Source organism: Homo sapiens, chromosome 19 (genome assembly GCF_000001405.40).
Source record: "Homo sapiens chromosome 19, GRCh38.p14 Primary Assembly".
Classification (NCBI taxonomy): Eukaryota; Metazoa; Chordata; class Mammalia; order Primates; family Hominidae; genus Homo; species Homo sapiens.
This window is the reverse complement of record NC_000019.10, coordinates 3,866,476-3,893,053: the sequence shown is the minus strand read 5'-3', so window position 1 is coordinate 3,893,053 and position 26,578 is coordinate 3,866,476. Positions and strand designations below refer to the sequence as shown.

Sequence of the window (26,578 nt, the reverse complement as noted above, 5' to 3'; positions counted from 1 at the left end):
CCAGTAAACACACAACCCAGTATACTCAACCTGATGCAATGAGTGGTCCCAGATTGGGTCTTGGACCCAGGGTTTGGGGCAGGGGCATTAGCTAAATAGGGACATGGGACATTATCGGTACAATTGAGGGTAAATTTTTTTTTTTGGAGACAGAGTCTTGCTGTGTTGCTCAGGCTAGAGTGTGGCGGCACAATCTGGGCTCATTGCAACTTCTGCCTCCTGGGTTTAAGCAATTCTCCTGCTTCAGCCTCCCCAGTAGCTGGGATTACAGGTGCCCGCCACCACACCCAGTTGATTTTTGTATTTTTAGTAGAGACGGGGTTTCACCATGTTGGCCTAGGCTGGTCTTGAACTCCCGACCTCAGGTGATCCACCTGCCTTGGCCTCCCAAAGTGCTGGGATTACAGATGTGAGTCACCGCACCCAGCCCTGAGGGCTGACTTTGATATAAAAGGAGCAAAATGTTAACAATTGTATAATCCTACTAAAGGTATGCAGATATTCTTTATATCATTCTTGTAATTTTTTTCCAAGTTTGGAAGTATATCAAATAGGCCAGGCGCAGTGGCTCATGCCTGTAATCCCAGCATTTTGGGAGGCTGAGGTGGGAGGATCATTTGAACCCAGGAGTTTGAGACCAACCTGGGCAACACAGTGAGACCCTGTCTCTACAGAAAATAAAACATAGCTGGGTGTGGTGGCATATGCCTGTGGTCCCAGGTATTCAGGGGGCTGCAGTGGGAGGATCGCCTCAGCCTGGGATGTGGAGGCTGTAGTGAGCTATGATCGCACCACTGCACTCCAGCCTGGGTGACAGAGCAAGACCCCGTCTGGAAAAAAAAAAAAAATTAAAAAGTTACAAGCAGCTGGGCATGGTGGCTCACGCCTGTAATCCCAGCACTTTGGGAAGCTGAGGCGGGTGGATCACTTGAGGTCAGTAGTTCGAGACCAGCCTGACCAATATGGTGAAACCCCATCTCTGCTAAAAATACAAAAATTAGCTGGGCGTGGTGGTGGGCGCCTGTAAACTCAGCTATTTGGGAGGCTGAGGCAGGAGAATTGCTGGAACCTGGGAAGTGGAGGTTGCAGCGAGCCGAGGTCACGTCATTGCATTCCAGCCTGGGCGTTGCAGCGAGACTCTGTTTCAAATAAATAAATAAATAAAACCCCCCAGAAAACCCAAAACAAACAAAGAAAAAGTTACAAGCAAGCAAACAAAACTGGCAGCCACTCAGCTGTGAGGGGAAGAGAGTAGAGGGAGCTATGGGGCAGCTCACCCTGCATCTGACCCTCCTTGGCTAGGATGCCCTGGGTAAGCTCCTCCCCCAAGTCCTCAGTTTCCCCACGCAGCCTTCCCCAGTCCCTCAACCTGCTTCCACTGAGCCCAGAGCCTTTGCACATGCTGCCCTCTCTGCTTGGAATGTGGGGCCCCTACACCCCACTTCCTTCCCCGGCTCATCCCTCCTCACCCTTCACAGCCAAGAATCACAGCTCCCCTTCCCTCCCTGGCCTGGTCAGAAGTGCCATGAACCCAGCTGCCACCTTGTATTGGGTTGTGAGGCTATAAGGGACTGGTATACAGTTGGCGCATAGCATCAGAATGAATGAATGGAGAAATTGAGGCAGCAATCTCCGGGCTGCCTTCAGCTCTAGCTCCGTAGTAGGCTGCAGAAGGGTGAGAGTGAAGGAAAATGCTAGAAGGAGGCCGGGCGCGTGGCTCACACCTGTAATCCCAGCACTTTGGGAGGCCGAGGCAGGCGAATCACTTGAGGTTAGGAGTTCGAGACCAGCCTGGCCAACATGGTGAAACCCTGTCTCTAACGAAAATACAAAAATGAGCCAGGCATGGTGGTGCGTACCTGTAATCCCAGCTACTTGGGAGGCTGAGGCAAGAGAATTGCTCGAAACCAGGAAGTGGAGGTTGCAGTGAGCTGAGGTTGCACCACTGCACTCCAGCCTGGGTGATACACTGAGACTCTGTCTCCAAAAAAAAAAAAAAAAGTGCTAGAAGGGCAGAGGCCATGCAGGGCTCTGTCTGACACCCTTAAGGGCAGTACAAAGACCACTTCTGCAGTCCCCAGGGGAGGGGATGGCTGGGCTGGAAGAAACAGAATTGTGAGCTGTTTTGCGGCAGACAGAGGTGGTTATGTGTGGCCGCAGCTGGACCTGCACCGAGGAGCCGACTCAGTTCTTCCAGAGACGAGGAAGACAGAAGCCTCGTGGAGGAAGTGTCCTGTTGGCAAAGGCGTAGCTCGTGGGGGCCAGGCTGGCACAGCGAGGCCACTGTCCTGCAAACACAAAGCTGCTGCAGCGGGTGGGCGAGAAGCCTTGCAGCTGTAAGAAATCCACCAGAAACACACCCTCCTCCCGCTCCCGCTGGCCTCGCGCCTTCCAGAAAGGGCCTCCAGCTTGCATTTGCAGGTGCGCTCGGCCTTGGTTTTTGTCTCAAGAAGGCTTGGGTGAGATGAGAGCTTTTAAAATTATCGGTGGAGGCCGGGTGTGGTGGCTTGCGCCTGTAATCCCAGCACTTTGGGAGACCGAGGTAGGCGGATCACTTGAGGTTGGGAGTTCGAGACCAGCCTGGCCAACATGGTGAAACCCCGTCTCTACCAAAAATACAAAAATTAGCTGGGTGTGGTGGTGTGTGCCTGTAATCCCAGCTACTCGGGAGGCTGAGGTGGGAGAATTGCTTGAACCCGGGAGGTGGAGGTTGCAGTGAGCCGAACTCGCGCCACTGCACTCCAGCTTAGGTGACAGAGTGAGACTTTGTCTGCAAAAAAAAAAAAAAAAAAAAAAAAAAAAAAAATTATAGGTGGAGCTGGGCCCAATGGCTCACACCTGTAATCCTAGCACTTTGGGAGGTGGGCAGATCACCTGAGGTTGAGAGTTCGAGACCAGCCTGGCCAACACGGTGAAACCTCGTCTCTACTAAAAATACAAAGATGAGCTGGGCGTGGTGGCAGATGCCTGTAATCCAGCTACTTGGGAGGCTGAAGCAGGAGAATCACTTGAACCCAGGAGGTGGAGGTTGCAGTGAGCTGAGATGGCGCCACTGCACCCCAGCCTGGGTGACAGAGCGAGACTCTGTCTCAAAAAAAAAAAAAGAAAAGAAAAGTAAAGAAATAAAAAAAAATCAGTAGGGGGAAAGGGAGCTAAGCTAATAATAGTAATAACGCTGGAGATGATTATTTATTTGTGCTGCCTTCGCCATTTGCACAGCCCATCTCGGCTGTTTTATCAAAATTTCATGACCACCTGGTGCGCGAGAGATTATTGTCCTATTTTACAGATCAGAAAACAGAGGCACTGAGATGCCCAAAGAGGTAGCCCAGGTGGCAGAGCAAACCTGCTGGGGAATTGGGATTTGAACCATGGGCGTCCGATTCCAAAGCTTATGCGCCTTTGTTTATGCTGTGCTGCTTGAAATGACATTATTTTAAAATTATTATTATTTTTCTTAGATATGCAGTCTTGCTCTGTTGTCCAGGCTGGAGTGCGGTGGTGTGATCATAGCTCACTGCTGCGATGTCCCAAGTCCAAACAATCCTCCTGCCTCAGCCTCCTGAGTAGCTGAAACTACAGGTGCACACCAGCATACCTGACTAATTTTTTTTTATTTTTTATTTTTATTTATTTATTTTGAGACGGAGTCTCACTCTGTCGCCCAGGCTGGAGTTCAGTGGTGCGATCTTGGCTCACTGCAACCTCCGCCTCCCGCGTTCAAGCGATTCTCCTTCCTCAGCTTCCCGAGTAGCTGGTATTACAGGCATGGGCCACCACGCCCGGCTAATTTTGTATTTTTAGTAGAGACGGGGTTTCTCCATGTTGGTCAGGCTGGTCTCAAACTCCTGACCTCAGGTGATCTGCCAGCCTTGGCTTCCCAAAGTGCTAGGATTATAGGTGTGAGCCACTAGGCCCAGCCAGTTTTTGTTTGTTTTTTGTTTTTTTAAGAGACGAGGTCTTGCTATGTTGCCCAGGCTAATCTCAAACTCCTGGGCTCAAGCGATCCTCCCGCCTTGGCCTCCCAAAGAGCTGGGATTACAGACATCAGCCTCCGCTCCCAGCCGTGATTCTCTGATTCTCGGCTATTCTGAGAACAGGGACCTCCTGCTGCAAAGAAACACAGACAGGTGCATGGGCCTTAGAGGCCTGGCAATGACTGGATTCAGGAGAGGGCTGAAGTTCTTGAATATCAAGATGCCGTCTTCAACAGTCCTCCTTCTGCCTGGACATGAATGGGAAGGAAGCTCTCGGCCTCCCACACCAGCCTGACTCATTTTGAAGGAGACCGATTACTTCAAGGCATTCTTCTGTATCTCCTTCAAACCCCATTCTCTTTTAAGTTCGTTCTTTTGGCCTCGTTCTGCCCTCCGGAACCCTCTCAGATTGAAATTTTCCTGGAACTGGAGATTCTGTTTTTTTGAGACACTCTCACTCACTCTACTGCCCGGGCTGGAGTCCAGTGGCGCGATCTCGGCTCACTGCAACCTTCGCCTCCCGAGTTCCAGCAGTTTTCCTGCCTCAGCCTCCTGAGTAGCTGGGATTACAGGTGCCCACCACCACGCCCGACTAATTTTTGTATTTTTAGTAGAGACGGGGTTTCACCATGTTGTCCAGGCTGGCCTCGAACTCCTGACCTCAAGTGATTTGCCCGCCTCGGCCTCCCAAACTGTTGGGACTGCAGACGTGAGCCACTGTGCGCGGCCTGGAGATTCTTTTCCAATTCTCTTTTTCAGGCGGAACACACCTGGTCTTTTTGACTGAACCTCACCCAATAGTTTCTATAACTGACCCTTGGGCATTGTGTTTGGGGGATGGATGAATTCCTGGTTCTGAAAGGGAAGAGGGATGAGCAGCTATCTTTAGCCAGCAAATCAGAGTCACACGTCTCAACAGCAAATTCGCACAGCTTCCTTTCCATGTAGTATTTTTTTTTTTTTGAGACGGAGTCTCACACTGTCACCCGGGCTGGAGTGCGGTGGCACATCTCGGCTCACTGCAACCTCTGCCTCCCGGGTTCAAGTGATTCTCCTGCCTCAGCCTCCCGAGTACTGGGGATTACAGGCGTGCACCACCATGCCCAGCTAATTTTTTTTAATTTTTATTTTTAGTAGAGACAGGGTTTCACTATGTCGGCCAGGCTGGTCTCAAATTCCTGACCTTGTGATCTGCCCACCTTGGCCTCCCAAAGTGCTGGGATTACACACACCTGAGCCACAGCGACCGGCCTTTTTTTTTTTTTTCCTCTCTTTTTAAATAGAGACAGGTGGTAGGGCGCGATGGCTCACGCCTGTAATCCCAGCACTTTGGGAGGCCGAGGTGGGCGGATCACGAGGTCAGACGATCGAGACCATCCTGGCTAACATGGTGAAACCCCGTCTCTACTAAAAATACAAAAAATTAGCCGGGCGTGGTGGCGGGTGCCCGTAGTCCCAGCTACTCGGGAGGCTGAGGCAGGAGAATGGCGTGAACCCGGGAGGCGGAGCTTGCAGTGAGCCAAGATCGCGCCACTGCACTCCAGCCTGGGCGACAAAGCGACACTCTGTCTCAAAAATAAATAAATAAATAAATAAAATAAAAAAAATAAAATAAAATAGAGACAGAGTCTCGCTCTGTCACCCAGACTGGAGTGCAGGGCTGCAATCATGGCTCGCTGCAACCTCTGCCTTCTGGGCTCAAGGGATCCTCCTGTCTCAGCCTGCCAAGTAGCTAAGACTGCAGGTGCACACCACCATGCCCAGCTAATTTTTTTTTTTTTGGTAGAAATGGGGTCTCACTATCTTGCCCAGGCTGGTTTCGAACTCTTGAGCTCTATCAATCCCCCCAGCCTGAGCCTCTGTAAGTGCTGGGATCATAGGCGTGAGCCACCGTGCCCAGCCCCTGTGATTTCTTATTCTGACCAGTGATCAGCACCTGTCACCCAATATTTGTTAAGCGCCGACTGTATGCCAGGCACTATCCTTAGGTTGGGATACAGCAGTGAGCTAAACAAAGACCCCTGCTCTTGTGGCGCTCCGTGTGGTGGGGAGACAGAGTGTAGACAAGATGTCCCTGCAAAATGTTCAGCGTAGGGGCCGGGCGCGGTGGCTCTTGCCTGGAATCCAAGCACTTTCGGAGTTCGAGACTGGCCTGGCCAACATGGTGAAATCCGGTCTCTACTAAAAATAGAAAAATCAGCCAGATGTGGTGGCGGGTGCCTGTAATCCAAGCTACTCGGGGGCATGAGGAAGGAGAATCACTGGAACCCAGGACCTGGAGGTTGCAGTGACCTGAGATCGTGCCACTGCACTCCAGCCTGTGGGACAGAGTGAGACTCAAAAAAAAAAAAAAAAAAGTTCAGCATGTTAGGGGAGGTAAGTGTCTCCTAAAGGCTGCTAATAAATCACCATGGTGCCTCAGCCTCCCGAGTAGCTGGAATTATAGGCGCATGACACCATACCCAGCTAATTTTTTTTTTTTTCTTTTGAGATGGAGTCTCACCTGTCGCCCAGGCTGGAGTGCAGTGGCGCGATCTCGGCTCACTGCAAGCTCCGCCTCCTGGGTTCACGCCATTCTCCTGCCTCAGCCTCCCGAGTAGCTGGGACTACAGGCGCCTGCCACACACCCGGCTAATTTTTGTATTTTTAGTAGAGATGGAGTTTCACCATGTTAGCCAGGATAGTTTCCATCTGCTGACCTCATGATCCGCCCGCCTCGGCCTCCCAAAGTGCTGGGATTACAGGCATGAGTCACTGCGCCCGGCATGCCCAGCTAATTTTTGTAGTTTTAGTAGAGACGCGGTTTTGCCATGTTGGCCAGGCTGGTCTCGAACTCCTGACCTCAAGTGATCCGCCCACCTCGGCCTCCCAAAGTGCTGGGATTACAGGCGTGAACCGCCGCGCCCAGCCAGAATGTTAAGAACTCTTAAAATGGTGTAGGGGTGGGGGGTCCTTTGGAGCTTTGGGGCAGGGAAGACAGAAATGAATCTTAAATCATTGAGCAAATACCCATTATGTGCCTGGCCAGGACTACCCCACTGTGAGGCCACAGAGAAGACTCGCACACAGGGCCTCAGGCCTCCCAGAGTGTGCGGGAGAGGAGGACGCGGAGATGGAACCAGGCCAGCCCCGGGCGGTTCCCACTTAGAGAGAGACCCGGGCCGCTCCTGTGTCCCACCTGGGAGAGACACCTGCTCCCCCAACGGTTGACTCAGGGATGTGGAAGTCCTACCTGGGAAGATCTTCGTCCTGCCATTCCTCCTTCACGTCCACGTTTTCCATCCGGAGCGTGGCTTCGGTGGTCCCCATGGGAGCTGGGAAGAGGCACTGGCTTGAAGCAGGGATGACCCCTGAAAGGAAGCCGCAGAGGAATGGGTTTTACTGGACAATAGTCCTAATGACAATCGTCTACCCCATGCAGCTCTTCCCCCTCCCACTCCCCCTCCGTCTCCCCCTCCCCCTTCCCCTCCCCCTCTCTCCTTTCTCCTCTCCTCTCTCCTTCTCCTTCTTCTTCTTCTTTTTTGAGACGGAGTCTTGCTCTGTTGCCCAGGCTGTAGTGCAATGGTGCCATCTCAGCTCACTGCAACATCCACCTTCCAGGCTCAAGCGATTCTCCCGCCTCAGCCTCCCAAGTAGCTGGGGTTACAGGCACCCATCACCACGCCTGGTTAATTCTTGTATTTTTAGTAGAGACAGGGTTTCGCCATGTTGGCCAGGCTGGTCTCGAACTCCTGACCTCAGGTGATCCTCCTGCCTTGGCCTCCCAAAGTGCTGGGATTACAGGCTTGAGCCATCACACCCGGCTAATTTTTGTATTTTTAATAGAGACGGGGTTTCACTGTGTTGGCCAGGCTGGTCTCAAACTCCTGAGCTCAAGCGGTCTACCCGCCTCAGCCTCCCAAAGTGCTGGGATTACAGGGGTGAGCCACTGAGCTTGGCTGTTTTTTTTTTTTTTTTTTTTTTTTTTAAAAAAAAAAACATGATCTTGCTCTGTTGCCTGGGCTGGAGTGCAGGGGCACAATCATGGCTCATGGCAGCCTTGAACTCCTGGGCTTAAGCAATCCTCCTGCCTCAGCCCCCCACCAGTAGCTGTGACCACAGGTGTGTACCATCATGCCTGGGTAATTTTTTAAAATCTTTTTTTAAGAGATTGGGTCTTGCTATGTTGGCCAGGGTGGTCTCAAACTCTTGGGCTCAAGCAATCCTCCTGCCTCGGCCTCTCTAAGCGCTGAGATTACAAGGGTAAACCACTGTGCCCGGCCAGCACTTCTTATTGAACCATCACCGAGCCCCATGAGGTTCCCCTGTTTTACAGATGAGAAAACAGAGGCACAGAGAGCTTAGGATGCACAGTGGGGTTCAGAGTTTGAACGTGGGCGAGAGGCTGAGCCTTCAGATACAAGTCCTGCTCCCTTGGAAACTTCGAAATCTACCTTCTCCAGGGTGAGCCATGACCCAGATAGACTTACCCTCCCTCTTGTGCCTTGGACCTCAACTAGAAAGCAAGAAATCCAAACAGTCATTCATACTAAAGTGTGAATGGCTGATATACTTCAGCTTCCGTGCTGGGAATGCCAAGTTCAAAGAGAATCCAGTAGGCTCTAACCCATCGCTATCTGCCATATGTACCAGGCCACCTGTCCTGCCTCTCTGTCCTCCCTCAAGCAAGTCCTAGTGACTTTCTGACTCCAGGGCTCACTAAGGCAGTGTGGAAAGAGACTGGGGTTAGAAAGGAGACCCTCATCTTTACTACCACAAAATGCCACTTTATTTATTTATTTATTTATTTAGAGACGGGGTCTTGCTCTGTCGCCCAGGCTGGAGTGCAGTGGTGTGATCCCAGCTCACTACAGCCTCCAACTCCTGGGCTCAAGCGATCCTCCTGCCTCAGCCTCCCAAGTATCTGGGACCACGAGTGTGTGCCATCATGCCTGGCTAATTTCTCTGATCTTGGTATGTCACCCAGGCTGGTCTTGAACTTTCGGGCTCAGGTGATCCTCTTGCCTCAGCCTCCCAGAGCGCTGGGATTACAGGTGTGAGCCACTGTGCCGCCCCACCCCCCACACCAGTTTTGTTTTTCTTGTTCTGAGGAGCTCACTGGGGGCAGGGGCAGGGGCAGGGCAGGGGGGAGCAGTCTGGGTGGGGGCCAGGATCAGAGCTGCCAGGTGAGACTGAGTTGTGGTCTGCTCTGGGGCATGGCAGACTCTCAGACCATCTCCCTCTCTGGGTCTCAGTTTCCCTTTCTGTAAACAAAAGAGTTGAATTAGAGATGACCTCTAAGATACCTTTTGGACATAACATACCAGCATCTTATGACTCAACCAACCCCATCTGTTTTGGGCTTTGAAACCAGTGCTTTGCACCTGTGGACAATTCTGCCTCCCCTGCTGCAAGGGGACACTTGGCATTGTCTAGAGGCACTTTTGTCACAACTGAGGGGAAGGAGTGCCCCCTGGGCAGGCCAGGGGTGCTGCTCAGCACCTTACAGTGCCCAGGATGGCCGCCCATGACCAAGAATGACTGGGTCCCAAATATCCATAGATCCAAGGTGGAGAAACCTTGTCTTAAAGGCAATAGTCATTTCTGTGTGCATTCCCGTGTTTGCGAAAGGATTTCAGGCCTGTGTCCGGCAGTCATTATAGAGTATTGTACACTCTGTCCTTCCATTACCTCTGTCTGTCTCTCAACAGCTTCCGAGTAGCTAGATCCACTTTTTTTGTTGTCATTTTTTTTTTGAGACAGAGTCTCGCTCTGTCGCCCAGGCTAGAGTGCAGTGGTGCGATCTCGGCTCACTGCAACCTCCACCTCTTGAGTAGCTTGGACTACAGGCGCGTGCCACCACGTCCAGCTAATTTTTGTATTTTTAGTAGAGATGGGGTTTCACTATATTGGCCAGGCTGGTCTCGAACTCCTGACCTCATGATCCACCTGCCTCCCAAAGTGCTGGGATTACAGGTGTGAGCCACCCTGCCGGGCCACTAGATCCACTTTTTAAAGCGTCTAGGGGCTGGGTGCAGTGGTGCATGCCTGGAATTCCAGCACTTTGGGCAGATCACTTGAGACCAGGGGTTCGAGACCAGCCTGGGCAACACAGCAAGACCCCATCTCTCAAAAAAAAAATACAAAAACTAACCAAGCACAATGGTGGGTGCCTGAGGTCTTAGCTATTCAGGAGGCTGAGGTGGGAGGATTGAGCCCAGAAGGTCAAGACCAGCCTGGGCAACATAGCAAGACACCATCTCTACGAAAAGCAAAAACAAAAACAAAAATTAATTAAATTTGGTGGGTGCCTGAAGTCACAGCTGTTCAGGAGGCTGAGGTGGGAGGATTGCCTGAGCCCAGGAGGTGGAGGCTGCAGTGAGGTATGATTGTGCCACCACATTCCAGCCTGAGCAACAGAGTGAGGTTCTATTTCAGAAAATAAAATAAAATAAAATAAGGCATCTGGCTGGTGCGGTGGCTCACACCTGTAATCCCCAGCACTTTGGGAGGCTGAGATAGGAGGATCGCTTGAGCCTGGAAGGTCAAGACCAGCCTGGGCAACATAGCAAGTCCCCATCTCTTAAAAAAAAAAAAATACAAAAATTAACCAAACATGGTGATGGGTGCCTGGTGCCTGAAGTCCCAGCTATTCAGGAGGCTGAAGTTGGAGGATCGCTTGAGACCAGGAGGTCGAGACTGCAGTGAGCTATGATCATGCCACTGCTTTCCAGCCTGAGCAACAGAGACCCTACTTCAAAAAATAAAATAAAAGATAAAGCATCTGGCTGGGGGCAGTGGCTCACACGTGTAATCCCAGCACTTTGCGAGGATCGCCTGAGCACAGGAGGTTAAGACCAGCCCGGGCAAGATAGCAAGACCCTGTCTCAAAAAAACCAAATACATGAAGCATCTAAGGCCCCCAACTCTCATGGCATCCAGGCTGCCTCTCTGTGGAGTAGGTTACCTGCAGCCCCCCAGCATAGATATCGGGTTTGCATCGGGGACAGGGGACTGTGGCTTAGCAAGGAAGGACCCAGAGGCAGCCTCAGCCAGATGAGGAAGTGGGGGGAGGGGACGGCTAAAACTAGACCCTCCCCCGTACAGGGTGAGCGTTTCTCACTCGATTCTCTGTCCTCAATGTCGTCATTCATGCTTGGAGGAGGGACAGTAACACGCAGCATGGAAAAAAAAAAAATCCCTCCTGGATGCTATGGGGTCGGGGGGGGGGCGGTGGCAGCAGCCAGCCAGGCCCTTCCCGCGAGGGTAAGTTCTCCTCGGCAGTAGAAACGCATTTGCTCTCCGGAGGAAGGGGTCTTCGCCTCTCCCTTCCTTATACTGAGCTGGGTGTGACCTCAGCCCCCAGGAACACTCCCACCAGCCCCGCCCCCGACCCCCACCCCCTGCCAGCTGCAGCCACAGGCGTTGACTCCACAGTCTTCTAAGGATGGGGTGGGGTGGGTCCTCAGTGGGCCCCGGACACTCCTGCACTCAGATCCTGGCTTCGCATTTGGGGACGGCCAAAAGAAGACAGTGACATCAAGGAACGGGAGTGAAGCGCTCATTTGAGCCCTGATGTCTGATTATTAACAAATCACATACGAGTTCCAATAAGGAGGAGGCATCTGTGTCTTAAACCATAAACCACCCCCTTCCTCCCCACCCCACAGGACAGCCTTTATCGACACACTTAGATTTTTTTTTTTTTTTTTTCCCGAAATCGTCGGCTGGTGGCCTTCCTAGCGTTATAAATAGGAAATACATAGGGCTAGGATGGGTCTATTTCAGCGTCCCAGAGAGAAGCTGAGGTTTTCATCCGCCCGAGCTCTCAGCGTGTCCTGAAAATGGTGCACTTAGAGGGGAACGGTGCGCGCGGAAGGTAAACTGTGTTGCTGGGCGCAGCTCAGGGAACGGTTTTCCCTGGTACCGGGAACAGGGATGTGAGGGCCTTCACGGAGTCACAAGACCGTGGCTCTCTGCTCCCACCCGCCCCATCTGCTGGAAAGGGATTTAGAGGCGGCAAAGGCTGCCGGATAAACCTTCCAGGGAGACGGTTTATCCTGGGAGAAGGGGAGATGCGCGCACTCACCTCTGCAGCTGAGACAGCCTCTCCTCCTTACTGGCAAACAAAGGCGAGCCCTGCCCGGGTGCAGCTGGGCATCGCTCACGCTCCCCGGGCCTTCAGAGCCTAGGAGGAAGAGGATGCTCGCAGGGGCGGATTCTGCATCCGAGGAAGGTCACCCAGGGCGACGTGGCCAGCGCCCGCCAGCTCTTTTGTGCAGGGGTGGGTGGGGTGCAGGGTTAGCGGTGGGCTCCCCAGCGCGGGGCTGCGGCTGCGCCCCCTCTCATCGCCGCCCGCCTGCGCGCCCTGCCTCCGAGGTAGCTGCTTCTTCCCAGCTCAGGGCTGGCAGAGGCTCGGCTTCCCGAAGACGGTTAATTTATGCTGCTTTTGTGTGCAGGGAGGAGGGGGTGGGGGGTGGCGGCCTGACGGAAAAGCACAGCCCCCTGCCAGAATCCGATCCTCCCCATTGGCTGACAGACAAGCATCTCCGAAAGCCACGCCAGGGGCAGAGGCAGAAATAATTTTCTGATGGCGCATCAGAGATTTAAAAACAAAACAACGGACAAATAAATAAATAAATGGCAAGATGGCCTCATTCCTTAGAGAATGGGGGGTGGGGGAGTTGGGAAAGGTCTTCTTGGCACTTCTCCTTGCAAAGGGAGCAGGGGTGAGGGGTGGCATCCCCCAAAAAGTCTGTGCAGGCAAAGAAATGACTGTCCCCAGGTCGGATGCCATGGCTCACGCCTGTAATCCCAGCACTTTCGGAGGCCGAGGAGGGAGGATCACCTGAAGTCAGGAGTTCGATACCAGCCTGGCCAACATGGTGAAACCCCGTTTCTACTGAAAATACAAAAATTAGCCAGGCGTGGTGGCGTGCGCCTGTAATCCCAGCTACTCGGGAGGCTGAGGCAGGAGAATCGCTTGAACCTGGGAGGCGGAGGTTGCAGTGAGCCGAGATGGCGCCACTGCACTGCAGCCTGGGCGGCAGAGGGAGACTCTGTCTCAAAGAAAAAAAAAAAAAAAGAAAGAAATGACTGTCCCCAGGTCACCGTGTTGTGGGTCCATTAGATGGTCACTTACCATTGATTCAGCCTCGTGCCCTAAACAGGGCTGGGTGCAGGGGAGGCGGAAGTTTCTCAGGCACACTCACTTTGCAGGGCTGCTGTGGGAACGGCGCCCCCTGCAGTTGTGCGCTGGCGTGGCCTCGCCCTGGAGGAATTCAAGGAGACTGTGGAAGATGGTAGGGTGGAGAGTGCAGGCCGTGCAGTCGGACTGGAAGTGGGTTTGAACTCTAGCCCAGCCACTCCCCAGCTGGCAGACCAGTGGGCATGAGTGATCTCACCTGCGGGCCTCAGTTTTTCTCATCTGTGAAATGGAGCCGCTATGGCTTTTCCACATTATGAGATAATGCATAGACAGCACTAAACACAGTGCTGGGGCACAAGAAAAGCTCCCTATGTGTTTCTTTCTCTTTCTTTCTTTCTTTCTTTCTTTCTTTCTTTCTTTCTTTCTTTCTTTCTTTCTTTCTTTTTTTTTTTTTTTTAGGTGGAGTCTCGCTCTGTTGCCAGGCTGGAGTACAGTGGTGCGATCTTGGCTCACTGCAACCTCCGACTCCCAGGTTCAAGTGGTTCTCCTCCCTCAGCCTCCCAAGTAGCTGGGATTACAGGCACACACCACCACACCTGGCTAATTTTTTTTTTGTATTTTTAGTAGAGGCGGGGTTTCAACATGTTGGCCAGGCTGGTCTCGAACTCCTGACTTCAGGTGATCCGCCCACCTTGGCCTCCCAAAGTGCTGGGATTAGAGGTGCGAATCACTGTGCTCGGCCTATATGTATTTCTTGCTATTGCTGTTTTTAATGTTTATTTTATTTACTTATTTTTTTAAGAAACAGGAGTTTTCCCTGTCATCCAGGCTGGAGTGCAATGGCACAATCACAGCTCGCTGCAGTCTTGAACTCCCGGGCTCAGGTGATCCTTACACCTCTTTCTCTCCAGTGGTTGAGACTACAGGCTCCTACCACCACGCCCTGCTAATCTGTGTAATTTTTGTAGAAATAGGGTATCTCTCTATTGCCCAGGCTGGTCTTGAATTCTTGGGCTCAAGTGAGCCTCTCATCTCAGCCTCGAAAAATGTTGGGATTATAGGTGTGAGCCACCGTGCCTGACCCACAGCACTTACTATTAATTGAAATTATTTACACTTTTTTGTTGTTGTTGTTGATTCTCTGCTCCTCCTTATTAGAATATACTGGGTTTTGTTTTGTTTTGTTTTGTTTTGAGACAGAGACTTGCTCTGTTTCCCAGGCTGGAGTGCAGTGGTGTGATCTCAGCTCACCGCAACCTCCTCCTCCTCTCAGGTTCAAGCGATTCTCATGCCTCAGCCTCCCAAGCATCTGGGACTACAGGCATGCACCACCACACCCAGCTATTTTTTTTATTTTTGGTAGAAACGGGGTTTCACCATGTTGGCCAGGCTGGTCTTAAACTCCTGACCTCAGGCAACCTGCCCACCTTGGCCTCCCAAAGTGTTGGGATTACAGGCGTGAGCCACCGCACCTGGCCAGAATATACATTTTCGAAGAGCAGAGGCTCGGTTGTTCTTATGCACCACACGTTCTCCGCACAAGGTAGCAACTCCTGGTCCAAAGCTGTTCAGGAGACGCAGGCAGAGTGCATGAAGGCTGGCTCCCTTCATGACATTCAATGACACCCCACCTAGGCTGGCAGCCTCACCCGCTGCATGGAGGTCTGCACTCTTCCGAGGCATAAAGGTAACCTGCCCACAGCAGAGGCAGAAAGCCCTGATGGGGAAGCAGAGGCCCCAGAGACTTTAGCACAAGGTTGGGACTTCCCATCTCCTGGCTGGAGAAAATGGAGGTCTTGTAAGAGACACTTGTGTTAACTGAGGGGTGGATTCGATGAGTCCCTGTGCTGGGCACTGGGCACAAGATATGAGTAATTCCCATTACTGGCAAACAAAGGCGAGCCCTGCCTGGGTGCAGCGGGCATCTCTCAGGCTCCCCAGGCCTTCAGAGCATTGGAGGAAGAGGATGCCTGAAGGAGTGGATTCTGCATCCGAGGAAGGTTGCAAGGCGATATGGCTAGTGCCCACCAGCTCTTTTGTGCAGGGGTGGGGGTGCAGGGTTAGTGGTGGGCTCCCCTGCGTGGGGCTGCGGCTGTGGCCCCTCTCATCATCACCCGCCTGCGCTCCCTGCCTCTGAGGTATCTGCTTCTTCCCAGCTCACGGCTGGCAGAGGCGTGGCTTCCCTAATTCAGTTAATTTATGCTGTTTTTGTGTGCAGGATTGGGAATTCTCTTAGAATGACCATTCAGTTGAGGCCAGGCATGTAATCCCAGCACTTTGGGAGGCCGCTCACACCTGTAATCTCAGCACTTTGGGAGGCTGAGGCGGGCAGATAACTTGAGGTTGGGGGTTTGAGACCAGCCTGGACAACATGGTGAAACCCCGCCTCTACTAAAAATACAAAAATTGGTCAGACGTGGCGGTGGGCGCCTGTAATTCCAGCTACTCGGGAGACTGAGGCAGGAGAATCGCTTGAACCCGGGAGGTGGAGGTTGCAGTGAGCCCAGATTGAGCCACTGCATTCCAGGTGGGGTGACAGAGTGAGACTCCATCTCAAAAAAAAAAAAAATAAATAATTCCCATTCAGTTGAGAGAAACAGGTGGACAACAGAGTCTGGGCTGATCTAGAGACATCTTTGGAGTGGTGCAGGTTGGGGGACCGTTGGGGAGGTTTCCTGGTGGGGCACAGAGGTGGCGACTGCATGAGTGAGACCCCTGAGGAGTGAGTGGAGTTAGATGAATAAAAAAGAGGGAGGAAGGCATATTCTGGACAGACAGGCCTGCCCAGACTGGCATTTAAAGAGCAACAGCTTCTCCCCAGTCCACCAAAGCCTGGGAGCTGTCCATGGTGCTACAGCCACCACCGAGGAGCCACAGCGTGTGACCTAAGCTTGGTTCCCTGTTTTTTTTTCCCTTTGAGACAGAGGCTTGCTCTGTCACCCAGGCTGGTGCGATCTCGGCTCACTGCAACCTCTACCTCCCAGGTTCAGGCGATTTTTCTGCCTCAGCCTCCCGAGTAGCTGGGATTACAGGCACCCACCACCACGCCAGGCTAATTTTTGTATTTTTAGTAGAGACGGGGTTTCACCATGTTGGCCAGGCTGGTCTCAAACTCCTGACCTCAGGTGATCCGCTTACCTTGGCCTCCCAAAGTGCTGTGATCACAGGTGTGAGCCACTGCAGCTGGCCTCTGTCTGTTTTCATTTCGTTTTATTTTAATTTTAAAATGGAAAAATTTTAATTTAATTTAATTTTTTTGAGACAGGTTCTTGCTCTGTAGCCCAGGCTGGAGTGCGGGGGTGTGATCATGGCTCACTGCAGCCTCAACCTCCTGGGCTCAAGTGATCCTCCTATCTCAGCCTCCCTGGCAGCTGGGACTACAGGTGTATGCCATCACACTTGGTTAATTTGACAATTTTTTGTAGAGATGGGGTCTCACTATTTTTCCCAGGCAAACATACCACACCCAGTGGGTGTGGATATCTTTAGGGGCCATTATTCTGCCGGCCATCCCTGAGGAATTCGTTTGGAAATGCACAAAAGGGCTAGATTTTGTAGGATCTTGAAACTTTTCTGAAGGTGAGCTTGTAGAAAATTTTCTTGTGGGCTGGGTGCAGTGGCTCACACCTGTAATCCCAGCACTTTGGGAGTCTGAGGCGGGTGGATCACTTGAGGCCAGGAGTGCTGGGCTCAGTGCTGGGATTACAGGTGTAATCCCGGCCTGTCACCCTGTATCTTTAACCCCTACACCAGTGGCTGTCACCTGGGGGGGTGGTGATCCTGCCCGCAGCGGACACCGGACGATTTCTGGGGACACTTGTGTTTGTTGCGACTGGGGGATACTCCTGTTATGGAGTGGATGGGGGCCAGGGACGCTGCTCAGCACCCTGCAGTGCCCAGGATGGCTCCGCCCCAGAGAATAATCTGGTCCCAATGTCCACGGTACTGAGCAAGAAAAATTCTGCCCTAAAAGAATGCTTGATACAGGCCAGGCAATGTGGCTCACGCGTATAATCCCAGCACTTTGGGAGGCCAAAGTGGGTGGTCAGGAGGTCAGAAGTTCAAGACCAGCCTGGCCAACATGGTGAAACCCCGTCTGTACTAAAAATACAAAAATTAGCCGGGCGTGGTGGCACGCGCCTGCAATCCCAGCTATTCAGGAGGCTGAGGCAGGAGAATTGCTTGAACCAGGGAGGCGGAGGTTGCAGTGAGCTGAGACTGCGCCACTGCACTCCAGCCTGGGTGAAAGAGCAAGACTCTGTCTCAAAAATAAATAAATAAATCCATAAAATAAAATGACTTCCAAGCTTCATGCTGAAGCACTGTCTAGTCTTCCTAAGTGCAAGAAAGCTCCAAGGAGAGGCCGGGCGCGGTGGCTCACGCCTGTAATCCCAGCACTTTGGGAGGCTGAGGTGGGCGGATCACAAGGTCAGGACATCGAGACCAGCCTGGCTAACACGGCAATACCCCGTCTCTACTAAAAATACAAAAAATTAGCCGGGCGTGGTGGCGGGCGCCTGTGGTCCCAGCTACTCGGGAGGCTGAGGCAGGAGAATGGCGTGAACCCGGGAGGCGGAGCTTGCAGTGAGCCAAGATCGCGCCACTTCAGTCTGGCCTGGGCAACAGAGCAAGACTCCATCTCAAAAAAAAAAAAAAAGAAAGCTCCAAGAAGAAAAGCAGTGTGTTAGAGAACTTCAGATATGAGTAAAAGTGCTATGAGTTCAATGTGAATGAATCAACCATGTCTATTTGTTGGGAATAACGCTCAAAATCCTAAGAAGATTGAATACACAAACAAAGGGATTTTAGCAAAGCAATTTTACTTCTGCGCAGAGAGGTGTTTTTCTTTGTCCAGTCGTCATGAGAGCGCACCTGAACAAAGGGGCATGAGAGCCTTTATTCCTGAGGCAAGTCCTGCCCCTGTGCCCTTTCCCCATTGGCCGGGGTCGGGTCACACAATCTGAACTAATCCCGGTTGGCTAGACATTTGAACTTTCTTTTTTTTCTTTTTTTTTTTTTTTGAGACGGAGTTTCGCTCTTATTGCCCAGGTTGGAGTGCAATGACGCAATCTCAGCTCACTGCAACCTCCACGTCCTGGGTTAAAGTGATTCTCCTGCCTCAGCCTCCTGAGTAGCTGAGATTACAGGCATGCACCACCACTCCTGGCGAATTTTGTATTTTTAGTAGAGATGTTGGTCAGGCGGGTCTCGAACTCCTGACCTCAGTTGATCCGCCCTCCTCATCCTCTCAAAGTGCTGGGATTACAGGCGTGAGCCACTGCACTGGCCGAGGTCGTGTATTGATGGTTGATGCAAACACTGTGACTAGAGGCTCACAGGAACTCAACCTCGTGTTTCTCTTAGGAGCGATGGTCAGTATTAGTGAGCTTGGTATTGACTTTAGAGAACAGAATTAATGAGAATCGACTGTGTCTACTTCTTTTTTTTTTTTTTTTGGGGGACGGAGTCTTGCTGTGTCGCCCAGGCTGGAGTGCAGTGGTGCAATCTCGGCTCACTGCAAGCTCCGCCTCCCGGGTTCATGCCATTCTTCTGCCTCAGCCTCCCGAGTAGCTGGGACTACAGGTGCCACCATGCCTTGCTAATTTTTTTGTATTTTTAGTAGAGACGGGGTTTCACTGTGTTAGCCAGGATGGTCTCCATCTCCTGACCTCATGATCTGCCTGCCTTGGCCTCCCAAAGTGCTGGGATTATAGGTGTGAGCCACCACGCCTGGCCTCTTTTTTCTTTTCTTTTCTTTCTTTCTTTTTTTTTAGACTGGGTCTTGCTGTGTCACCCAGACTGGAATGCAGTGGTACACTTATGGCTCACTGCAGCCTCCACCTCCTGGGCTCAAGCGATCCTCCCACCTCAGCCTCCTAAGTGGCTAGGACTACAGGCACACACAACCACATCCAGCTAATTTTTGTATTTTGTAGAGATGGGGTCTCCCTATGTTGCCCAGACTGGTCTCAAACTCCTGGGCTCAAGCAATCCTCCTGCCTTGGCCTCCGAAGTAGCTGGGGTTACTGGTATGAGCCACTATGCCTGTTTCTACTTCTGAAGGCTGTTTTTTTTTTTTTTGGTTTTTTTTTTGTTTTGAGACAGAGTTTCACTCTTTCACCCAGGCTGGAGTGCAGTGGTGTGATCTCAACTCACTGCAACCTCTGCCCTCCAGGTTCAAGCAGTTCTCCTGCCTCAGCCTCCTGAGTAGCTGGGATTATAGGCAACTACCACCACGCCCAGCTAATTTTTTTGTATTTTTAATAGAGACAGGGTTTCACTATGTTAGCCAGGCTGGTCTTGAACTCCCAACCTCGGCCTCCCAAAGTGCTGGGATTACAGGTGTAAGCCACCATGCCCGGCCTTCTGAAGGCTGTTGTGGGAACTAGATCACATTTTGCATGTAAAGCATTTAGCACAATCCTTGCAGTAAATAATAGAAAAAATGCAACCCAGAGAAAACACTACAACAGATCCTTTGTAAAGAGACACAGCCTTCATTACCTAATTAGAACGGCAGGGACTTGGAGAGAGGCCGTGTGCAATTAATTACCTTGTTGGACTTTAGCCAGGGCATGGCAGGGAGAGCTGCACTGGCCAGACCCACCAGACCATTCCTGGTGGCCACACATGGTCATGGAGTTACAGATGGAAGAGTGCCATCCGCTAAATCACCAAATGTGGCTTCCCTCAGCACCCTGGGCTCTCCATGGAGCCTGTCCAAGAATTAGTAGCCCTGTATCTGCTGAATGCACTTCTTACTTTAATGCTCTCGTAATACTCCATTGTCAAAAAGCCAACTGATTTGAAAGACTTCAGCAAAGCAAAAGTTCATAGATGCCCAAGACCCAAGACTTCCTTTTTTGTTTGTTTTGTTTTGTTTTGAGACTGAGTCTCACTCCGTCACCTGGGCTGGAGTGCAGTGGCGCGATCTCGGCTCACTGCAACATCTGCCTCCCAGGTTCAAGCAATTCTCCTGCCTTGGCCTCCCGAGTAGCTGGGACTACAGTCACCCGCCACCTTGCCTGGCTAATTTTTGTATTTTTTAGTAGAGACAGGGTTTCACCATGTTGACCAGGCTCGTCTTGAACTCGTGACCTCAGGTGATCCGCCCGCCTCAGCCTCCCAAAGTGCTGGGATTACAGGCATGAGCCACTGCGCCAGGCCCCTTTTATGTTTTTTGTTTGTTTGTTTGTTTTGAGACGGGGGTCTGGCTCTGTCACCCAGGCTGGAGTGCAGTGGTGAGATCTTGGCTCACTGTAACCTCTGCCTCCTGGGCTCAAGTGATCCTCCCGCCTCAGCCTCCTGAGTAGCTGGGACCACAGGCACCTGCCACCATGCCTATCTAACAGAAGCCCAAGACTTCTATGATGCTTTTTGGAATCTAGTGTTCAAAGTGGGCGTCTTAGTCTGTTCAGGGTGCTATAACAAAGCCAGGCGCAGTGGCTCACGCCTATAATCCCAGCACTTTGGGAGACCGAGGCGGGTGGATCACCTGAGCTCAGGAGTTTGATACCAGCCTGGCCAACATGGTGAAACCCCGTCTCTACTAAAAATACAAAAATTAGCCGGGTGTGGTGGCGCATGCCAGTAATCCCAGCTACTCGGGAGGCTGAGGTTGGAGGATCGCCAAAGCCTGGGAGGCGGAGGTTGCAGTGAGCTGAAATTGTGCTATTGCACTCCAGCGACAGAGCGAGATTCCTTCTCAAAACAAAACAAAACAAACCAACAAACAAATAAACAAAAAAGCTGCCTAGTGAATGGAGGGAAAGGCTTAGGCAGAAGCCCCGTTACTTTACGTGGGGCCCTTCAGAAGTCGCTGGGCTCAGTAGGTTCCTAGCCGTGTTTGAGAGTCGGCTTTTCTAAGAGATACTCATGCAGCCCAGCCTCTGGGCCCCCCAGCTTCCGGGCCGGCCAGCCTGTGGAGGTTGGTCAGGTGGTCACCCATCTTCTTCTTCTTTTTTTTTTGGAGAGCCTCACTCTATTCCCCAGGCTGGAGTGCAGTAGCGTGATCTCGGCTCACTGCATCCCCTGCCTCTTGGGTTCAAGCGATTCTCATGCCTCAGCCTCTTGAGTAGCTCACCACGCCCGGCTAATTTTTGTATTTTTAGAAGAACTGGAGTTTCGCCATGTTGGCCAGGCTGGTCTCAAACTCCTGACCTCAGGTGATCTGCCTGCCTCGGTCTCCCAAAGTGCAGGGATTACAGGTGTGAGCCACCGCGTGCAGCCCACTTCCTCATCTCGGAAGTGACTCTCCAGGAAGTCACAGAGATGGGGGTCTGTAGGGGCGGAACCCAGTGCATGAAGATCCAAAAGACTCTGGTTGAGATTTTTCCCCGGGGCCATGGCGGCTTCCATGGCTTCCAGGGTTTTACCCCACTCATCTTGACCTGGCTTCAGGATGTCCTGGAAGACAGCAGGGCCACCACGCTGGTTTTGCATCTTCAGGAGACGCTCAACACCCTTGCGCTTCTCCTTGGCCAATTCATGGAAGAAGTAAGCCCCGCATTCCGGAGCCACATCTTGGTGATCGAAATAGAAGCGCAGACGATGGCTCACGCCTGTAATCCCAGCACTTTGGGAGGCCGAGGCAGGCGGATCATGAGGTCGGGAGATCGAGACCATCCTGGCTAACACGGTGAAACCCCGTCTCTACTAAAAATACAAAAAAATTAGCCAGGCGTGGTGGTGGGCGCCTGTAGTCCCAGCTACTCGGGAGGCTGAGGCGGGAGAATGGCGTGAACCTAGGAGGCGGAGCTTGCAGTGAGCAGAGATCGCACCACTGCACTCCAGCCTGGGCGACAGAGCCAGACTCCGTCTCAAAAAAAAAACAAGCAAAAAAAAAAAAAAAAAAACCCGCAGAGGGAGGAGGTGTAGGAGGCCCGCAGGTGCAAACTGACCAGGCGGTTGACGGCTGCCTCCACCGCGGTGGAATAATTCTGACGAATCTGGGAGCTCATGGTTGGTCGGCAAGAAGGAGCTAACCAAAAAAACGGCGTTGGTTGGTCCGAGAAGCAGGAGATGGCTGAGCCGATGCTCCTGGAGGTTGCAAGAAGAGAGGAAATCAGCGGGTGGTCGGAGGCTGGAAGTGAGTTCCCGGATCTGTTCCATCCAAACACTGTGGAAGCAAGAGACGGATCCGCGGGACCGCCAAACACGCTGCTGCTTGTCAGGTTTCAATACTGTCAAGTGACTCTCCCTCCCCCTCCTTCCAGGCTGCAGTCTTGGGAAGGAAGTCACTATGCACAACCCACACTCAAGAGGTGTAGAGTTACTCTCTATCTCCTTAAGCGCAGTGTAGCTACACAAATTAGGAATTCTTCTGCATAAGAGATTTGTCTGTTTGCCTCCATTTATTTGTTTATTCATTCAATTCTTTCTCTCTCTCTCTCTCTCTCTCTTCTTTCCTTCCCTTCCCTCCCTCCCTGCTCCTCTCCCTCTCCTCTTTTATTATTTATTTATTTATTTTTTTATTTTTTATTTTTTTATTTTTTTGAGACGGTGTATTGCTCTGTTGCCCAGGCTGGAGTACAGTGGTGTGATCTCGGCTCGCTGCATCCTCCACCTCCTGGGTTAGGTAATTCTCCTGCCTCAGCCTCCCGAGTAGCTGGGATTACAGGTGTGCCCCACCACGCCTGGCTAATTTTTTTTTTTGTATTTTTAGTAGAGACAGGGTTTTGCCATGTTGGCTAGGCTGCTCTTGAACTCCTGACCTTGGGTGAGCTGCCCACCTCGCCTTCCCAAAGTGCTGGGATTACAGGCGTGAGCCACCACGCCCAGCCCTTTCTTTCTTTTCTCTTTTTTGAGACAGGGTCTCACTCTGGAGTGCAGTGGTACAGTCACAGATCACTGCAGCCTTGACAGCCCAGGCTCAAGTGATCCTCCCACCTTAGCCTCCTGAGTAGCTGGGACCACAGGCATGTACCACCATGACCAGCTAATTAAAAAAAAATTGTAGAAACAGGGTCTTGCTATGTTGCCCAGGCTAGTCTCAAAGTCCTAGGGCTCAAGATCCTCCTGCCTCCGCCTCTCAAAATGTTGGGATTACAGACGTGAGCCACTGTGCCCGGCCTATCATTTATTTATATCACGTTGTGAACACAGGAGGCAGAGACCATGGGGGCCTTCTGAAGAGTCATTCTGAGGCTAGATGCAGTGGCTCACGTCTGTAATCCCAGCACTTTTGGAGGCCAAGGCAAGATTATTTGAGGCCAGGAGTTCAACATCAGCCTGGGCAACATAGCAAGACACTGTCTCTACAAAAAATTTAAAAATTAGCTGGCTGTGGTGGTGGTGGGGCTTGAGCAGAGACCTCCACATCTGAGTGGTTAAAGAGAAGGTGGGGCTCGGAGACAGAGGTAGGGCTTGTGCAGAGACCATATCTGAGCAGGTAAAGGGAAGGCGGGGCTCCGAGAAAGAGGCGGGGCTTGTGGCATGGGTGGGGCTTGAGCAGAGACCTCCACACCTGAATGGTTAAAGGGAAGGTACGGTTCCAAAAAAAGGCGGGGCTTGTGGCATGGGTGGGGGTTGAGCAGAGATCACATCTGAGTGGGTAAAGGGAAGGCAGGGCTCTGAGTAAGAGGCGGGGCTTGTAGCATGGGCGGGACTTGATCAGATACCACCACATCTGAGTGGTTAAAGGGAATGTGGGGCTCCGAGAAAGAGGCAGGGCTTCTAGCATGGGCGGGGCTTGAGCAGAGACCTCCACATTTGAGTGGTTAAGAGGAGGGCGGGGCTCTGCGTAGGAGGCGGGGCCTCGGGGCAGGTGTGGTCGCGGGGCGGTGTCTCCCTAGCCTAAGAGAAGGAAGCGAGAAGGTGAGGGCTTCGCGCAGGGGGCGGAGCTTGGGGCGCGTGGCCAGGCGCGAGCGGCACGCGGCTCGGGGGCGGGGCGGGTGACGTCGCGGGTCCGCCAGGCTCGGGGAAGACGCCAAGATGGCGACGAGTCAGTATTTCGACTTCGCGCAGGGCGGCGGCCCGCAGTACAGGTAACTGCCCCGCCGCGCCAGCCCCCGCCAGTCCCGGCCCCTGCAGCCTGGCCGGGACCCCGCCTACCCCTTCTCCCGCCGCGTGCGCCCGGCCCGGCCCCAGTCCCAGCCCCAACCTGGAACCCCGGCCTGAGGGAAGCCGCGGCGCCGGGAGAAGCAGGCGGGGCGGCCTCAGGTTAGGCACCGGGCGGGATGCGGGCTCCGGGGCTCCGGCTGAGACGTCTCTGCAGCCAACGGTGTCTGTCGGCGGGAGCGGGAGGGGGCTCCTGAAGTGGGAGGGGGCCTGGGTTTGGGCCTGGGCCTGTGCGGGGTCGGGGGGGTCAGCCCCTGATGGGGGCGCCACGAGGAGGGCAGCGAGAGGGGACAGACCCGGGCGGGGGGTGGGTGGTCTGACCGAGGAGGGGAGGGGACGGAACTGACCCAATGCAGGGAGGAGACCTGGGAGGTGCCTGGCCGGGGAGTGGGTGGGGATGGGCAGAGGGGAGCTGACCCCTGATTGCTGGTAGGGGAAGAGAAGACACAGACCTAGGAGGGTGTCTGGCTGGGCAGGAGGAGGGGAAGGGCAGAGGGGCATTGACCCCCGATTGCGGGGGGAGGAGAAGACACAGACCTGGGAGGGTGCCTGGCCGGGCAGGGGGATGGACAGAGGGTAGCTGACCCCCGATTACTTGTAGGGGAGGAGAAAACAGAGATCAGCGAGGGTTCCTGGCTGGGCAGGAGGAAGCCACAGTCGAGGGGTGAGGAATTGGCCCCTGATGGGGGTAAGAGAGAAGACAGAAACCTGGGAGGGTGTCTGGCTGGACAGGGGGAGAGCTAGAGCGGAGCTGACCCCGATTGCTGGTAGGGGGAGAGAATTCAGACCTGGGAGGGTGTCTGGCTGGGCAGGAGGAGGGGAAGGGCAGAGGGGCGTTAATCCCCGATTGCTGGAGGAGGAGAAGGCAGAGACCTGGGAAGTTTCCCGACTGGGCAGGGGGCAGCAACATTCGAGTGTGGAGGGCACTGACCCCTGATGGTGGGGGTAGGAGAGAAGGCAGAGACCTGGGAGGGTACCTAGCAGGCAGGGGCAGAGACCTGGGGTGGGGTGTGGAGTAGGGGTGGGAACCTGACCCCTGATGTGGGGTGGAGGAGAGAAGACAGAGACCTGGGAGGTTACCCCAGGGAGGGGCGGAAACCGAGGTTGGTGGGGAACTGAGGCCTGACTGGGGAAGGGGGACAGAGACTTGGCGGGAAGCCAGTATTATGTGGGAGGAGGTCCTGAGGTCAAATAAGAGGGTGGGCACCTGGGTTTCCAGGGAACTGGGACCCTGCTGGGACAGTGAGGAGGGAGAAAGGGCCCTGAGTGTTGTGATATTTAAGATCCTTTTCTAGGTCTTAAATATGTGGTCGTTTGGGAGGGGAGGGAGAGAAAGGATCCTGGAGGAGAGATGGCAGGGGATGGGGACACACTGGGAACTGGCCAGGGGCAGAAGGGCTCAGAGGGTAGGGACACACACGGGGTAAGTTTGTGCCCCAAGTGTACAAACACACACTCTACACTGTTCTCCCAGGCCTGCTCCTCGGAGCATCTCTGCTATCTTCAGCCCGTCCATCTGCCCCCAAGACTGGAGTCCCAGTCCGGGAGCCAGGGCTGGCATCTCTGAGGGGACCAGATTCCCCCCCCAACAGTTGATCATTTCCGCGTGTCACCCTTGTGTTAGTTTCCAGCTGGTAGCTTGCTATAACCTTGTTTCTCACAGTCCCTGCTGAGCCCCCACAGATACAAACCACCCCTTGGGCACCTCATAGAGGGGCCTCTGCTGAGCTCAGGGGGGTCTTTGCCCCCCGCGGTGTTCCTACTGCATTTCAGCACATGGAAGAGAGATCCAGGCTGGTGTTTCAGCTTCCCGCGGTGGAGCGGCAGTGCCGACCCTTCCACCAGTGCTGTGATATTGCTGTGCCCTTTCTAATGGAATCACAAAGAGAAACCACCCAGGGCTTGGAAACCAGGGCTGTGGGAATGAGGAGTGCATCTGTTTCCTGCACTCGGAGTGGTTTCTCTGGTGGAGTATTTGACTAGTAATGGATTTCCTATTAGGGAAAGAATCTATGACCTGCTGATTTCCCAGAATGGAGCATTTAATTTTTATTTGATCTTTTCTTTTGCTTCCTTCATCCTCAGTGGTGTTTTGATTGCCAGGGCTCAGTTAAAGCGGCTGGACTTGGCTAGCGATCCAGGCTAGTACAAACTTCTGGACACACTCCACCCCTCTGCCTGCTAGCTCTTCCTTCTTTTCTCTTTCTCTTCTTTCTTTCTCCATTGTATTCTTCCATCAGACGTGGAAAATCACTTGAATATTATGCTTGCTATTAAAATTACCTTCCAGAGGAGAAATTGAATGTTTATGTTGTTCAAATAGGTGATTGCTAAGCTTCAGTAGAGGCTTCTGTCATTGATTTGAATTAACGTGCTTATACATTTTAGCACAGCTACCTTCTGTGTTCTGATGGCT

The 26,578-nt window shown here is 52.8% G+C and overlaps 2 protein-coding genes and 1 pseudogene across 5 annotated transcripts in view, besides 4 other annotated features; 1 reads left to right on the top strand and 2 right to left on the bottom strand.

Moving 5' to 3' along the window:
• ATCAY (ATCAY kinesin light chain interacting caytaxin) overlaps positions 1 to 12,369 on the bottom strand; it is a 47,398-nt gene extending 35,029 nt beyond the window's left edge. Inside the window, exons 1-2 of the mRNA NM_033064.5 lie at positions 12,046 to 12,369; positions 7,210 to 7,327 (exon numbers count right to left, since the gene is read on the bottom strand). Of these exons, the coding sequence (NP_149053.1) occupies positions 7,210 to 7,286 (77 nt within the window). The 5' untranslated portion in view covers positions 7,287 to 7,327; positions 12,046 to 12,369. The remainder of the gene's footprint in view (positions 1 to 7,209; positions 7,328 to 12,045) is intronic.
• Positions 12,164 to 12,694: an enhancer, noted in NCBI's record as "H3K4me1 hESC enhancer chr19:3880358-3880888 (GRCh37/hg19 assembly coordinates)". NCBI's record gives its function as "activates a minimal SCP1, AML or CMV promoter by ChIP-STARR-seq in naive H9 embryonic stem cells {active_cell/tissue: H9 hESC(naive)}" and the evidence as "EXISTENCE:reporter gene assay evidence [ECO:0000049][PMID:30033119]".
• Positions 15,809 to 16,103: a silencer, noted in NCBI's record as "tiled region #13254; HepG2 Repressive DNase unmatched - State 10:DNaseD, and K562 Repressive DNase matched - State 10:DNaseD". NCBI's record gives its function as "represses a minimal TATA promoter and a strong SV40 promoter by Sharpr-MPRA in HepG2 and K562 cells {active_cell/tissue: HepG2 | K562}" and the evidence as "EXISTENCE:reporter gene assay evidence [ECO:0000049][PMID:27701403]".
• Positions 15,846 to 16,046: a silencer, noted in NCBI's record as "peak3259 fragment used in MPRA reporter construct". NCBI's record gives its function as "represses an SCP1 promoter by STARR-seq MPRAs in K562 erythroleukemia cells {active_cell/tissue: K562}" and the evidence as "EXISTENCE:reporter gene assay evidence [ECO:0000049][PMID:32103011]".
• On the bottom strand, positions 20,847 to 22,260 carry FTLP5 (ferritin light chain pseudogene 5; annotated as a pseudogene).
• Positions 21,430 to 21,929: an enhancer, noted in NCBI's record as "H3K4me1 hESC enhancer chr19:3871123-3871622 (GRCh37/hg19 assembly coordinates)". NCBI's record gives its function as "activates a minimal SCP1, AML or CMV promoter by ChIP-STARR-seq in naive H9 embryonic stem cells {active_cell/tissue: H9 hESC(naive)}" and the evidence as "EXISTENCE:reporter gene assay evidence [ECO:0000049][PMID:30033119]".
• ZFR2 (zinc finger RNA binding protein 2) overlaps positions 24,016 to 26,578 on the top strand; it is a 65,015-nt gene continuing 62,452 nt past the window's right edge. For all 4 annotated transcript variants that reach the window (NR_027149.2, NM_015174.2, XM_011527831.3 and 1 more), the window contains exon 1: positions 24,016 to 24,089. Coding sequence is in view for 3 of the 4 variants with exons in the window: in NM_015174.2 (NP_055989.1) it covers positions 24,037 to 24,089 (53 nt within the window). In the remaining variant the exon portion in view is untranslated. The remainder of the gene's footprint in view (positions 24,090 to 26,578) is intronic.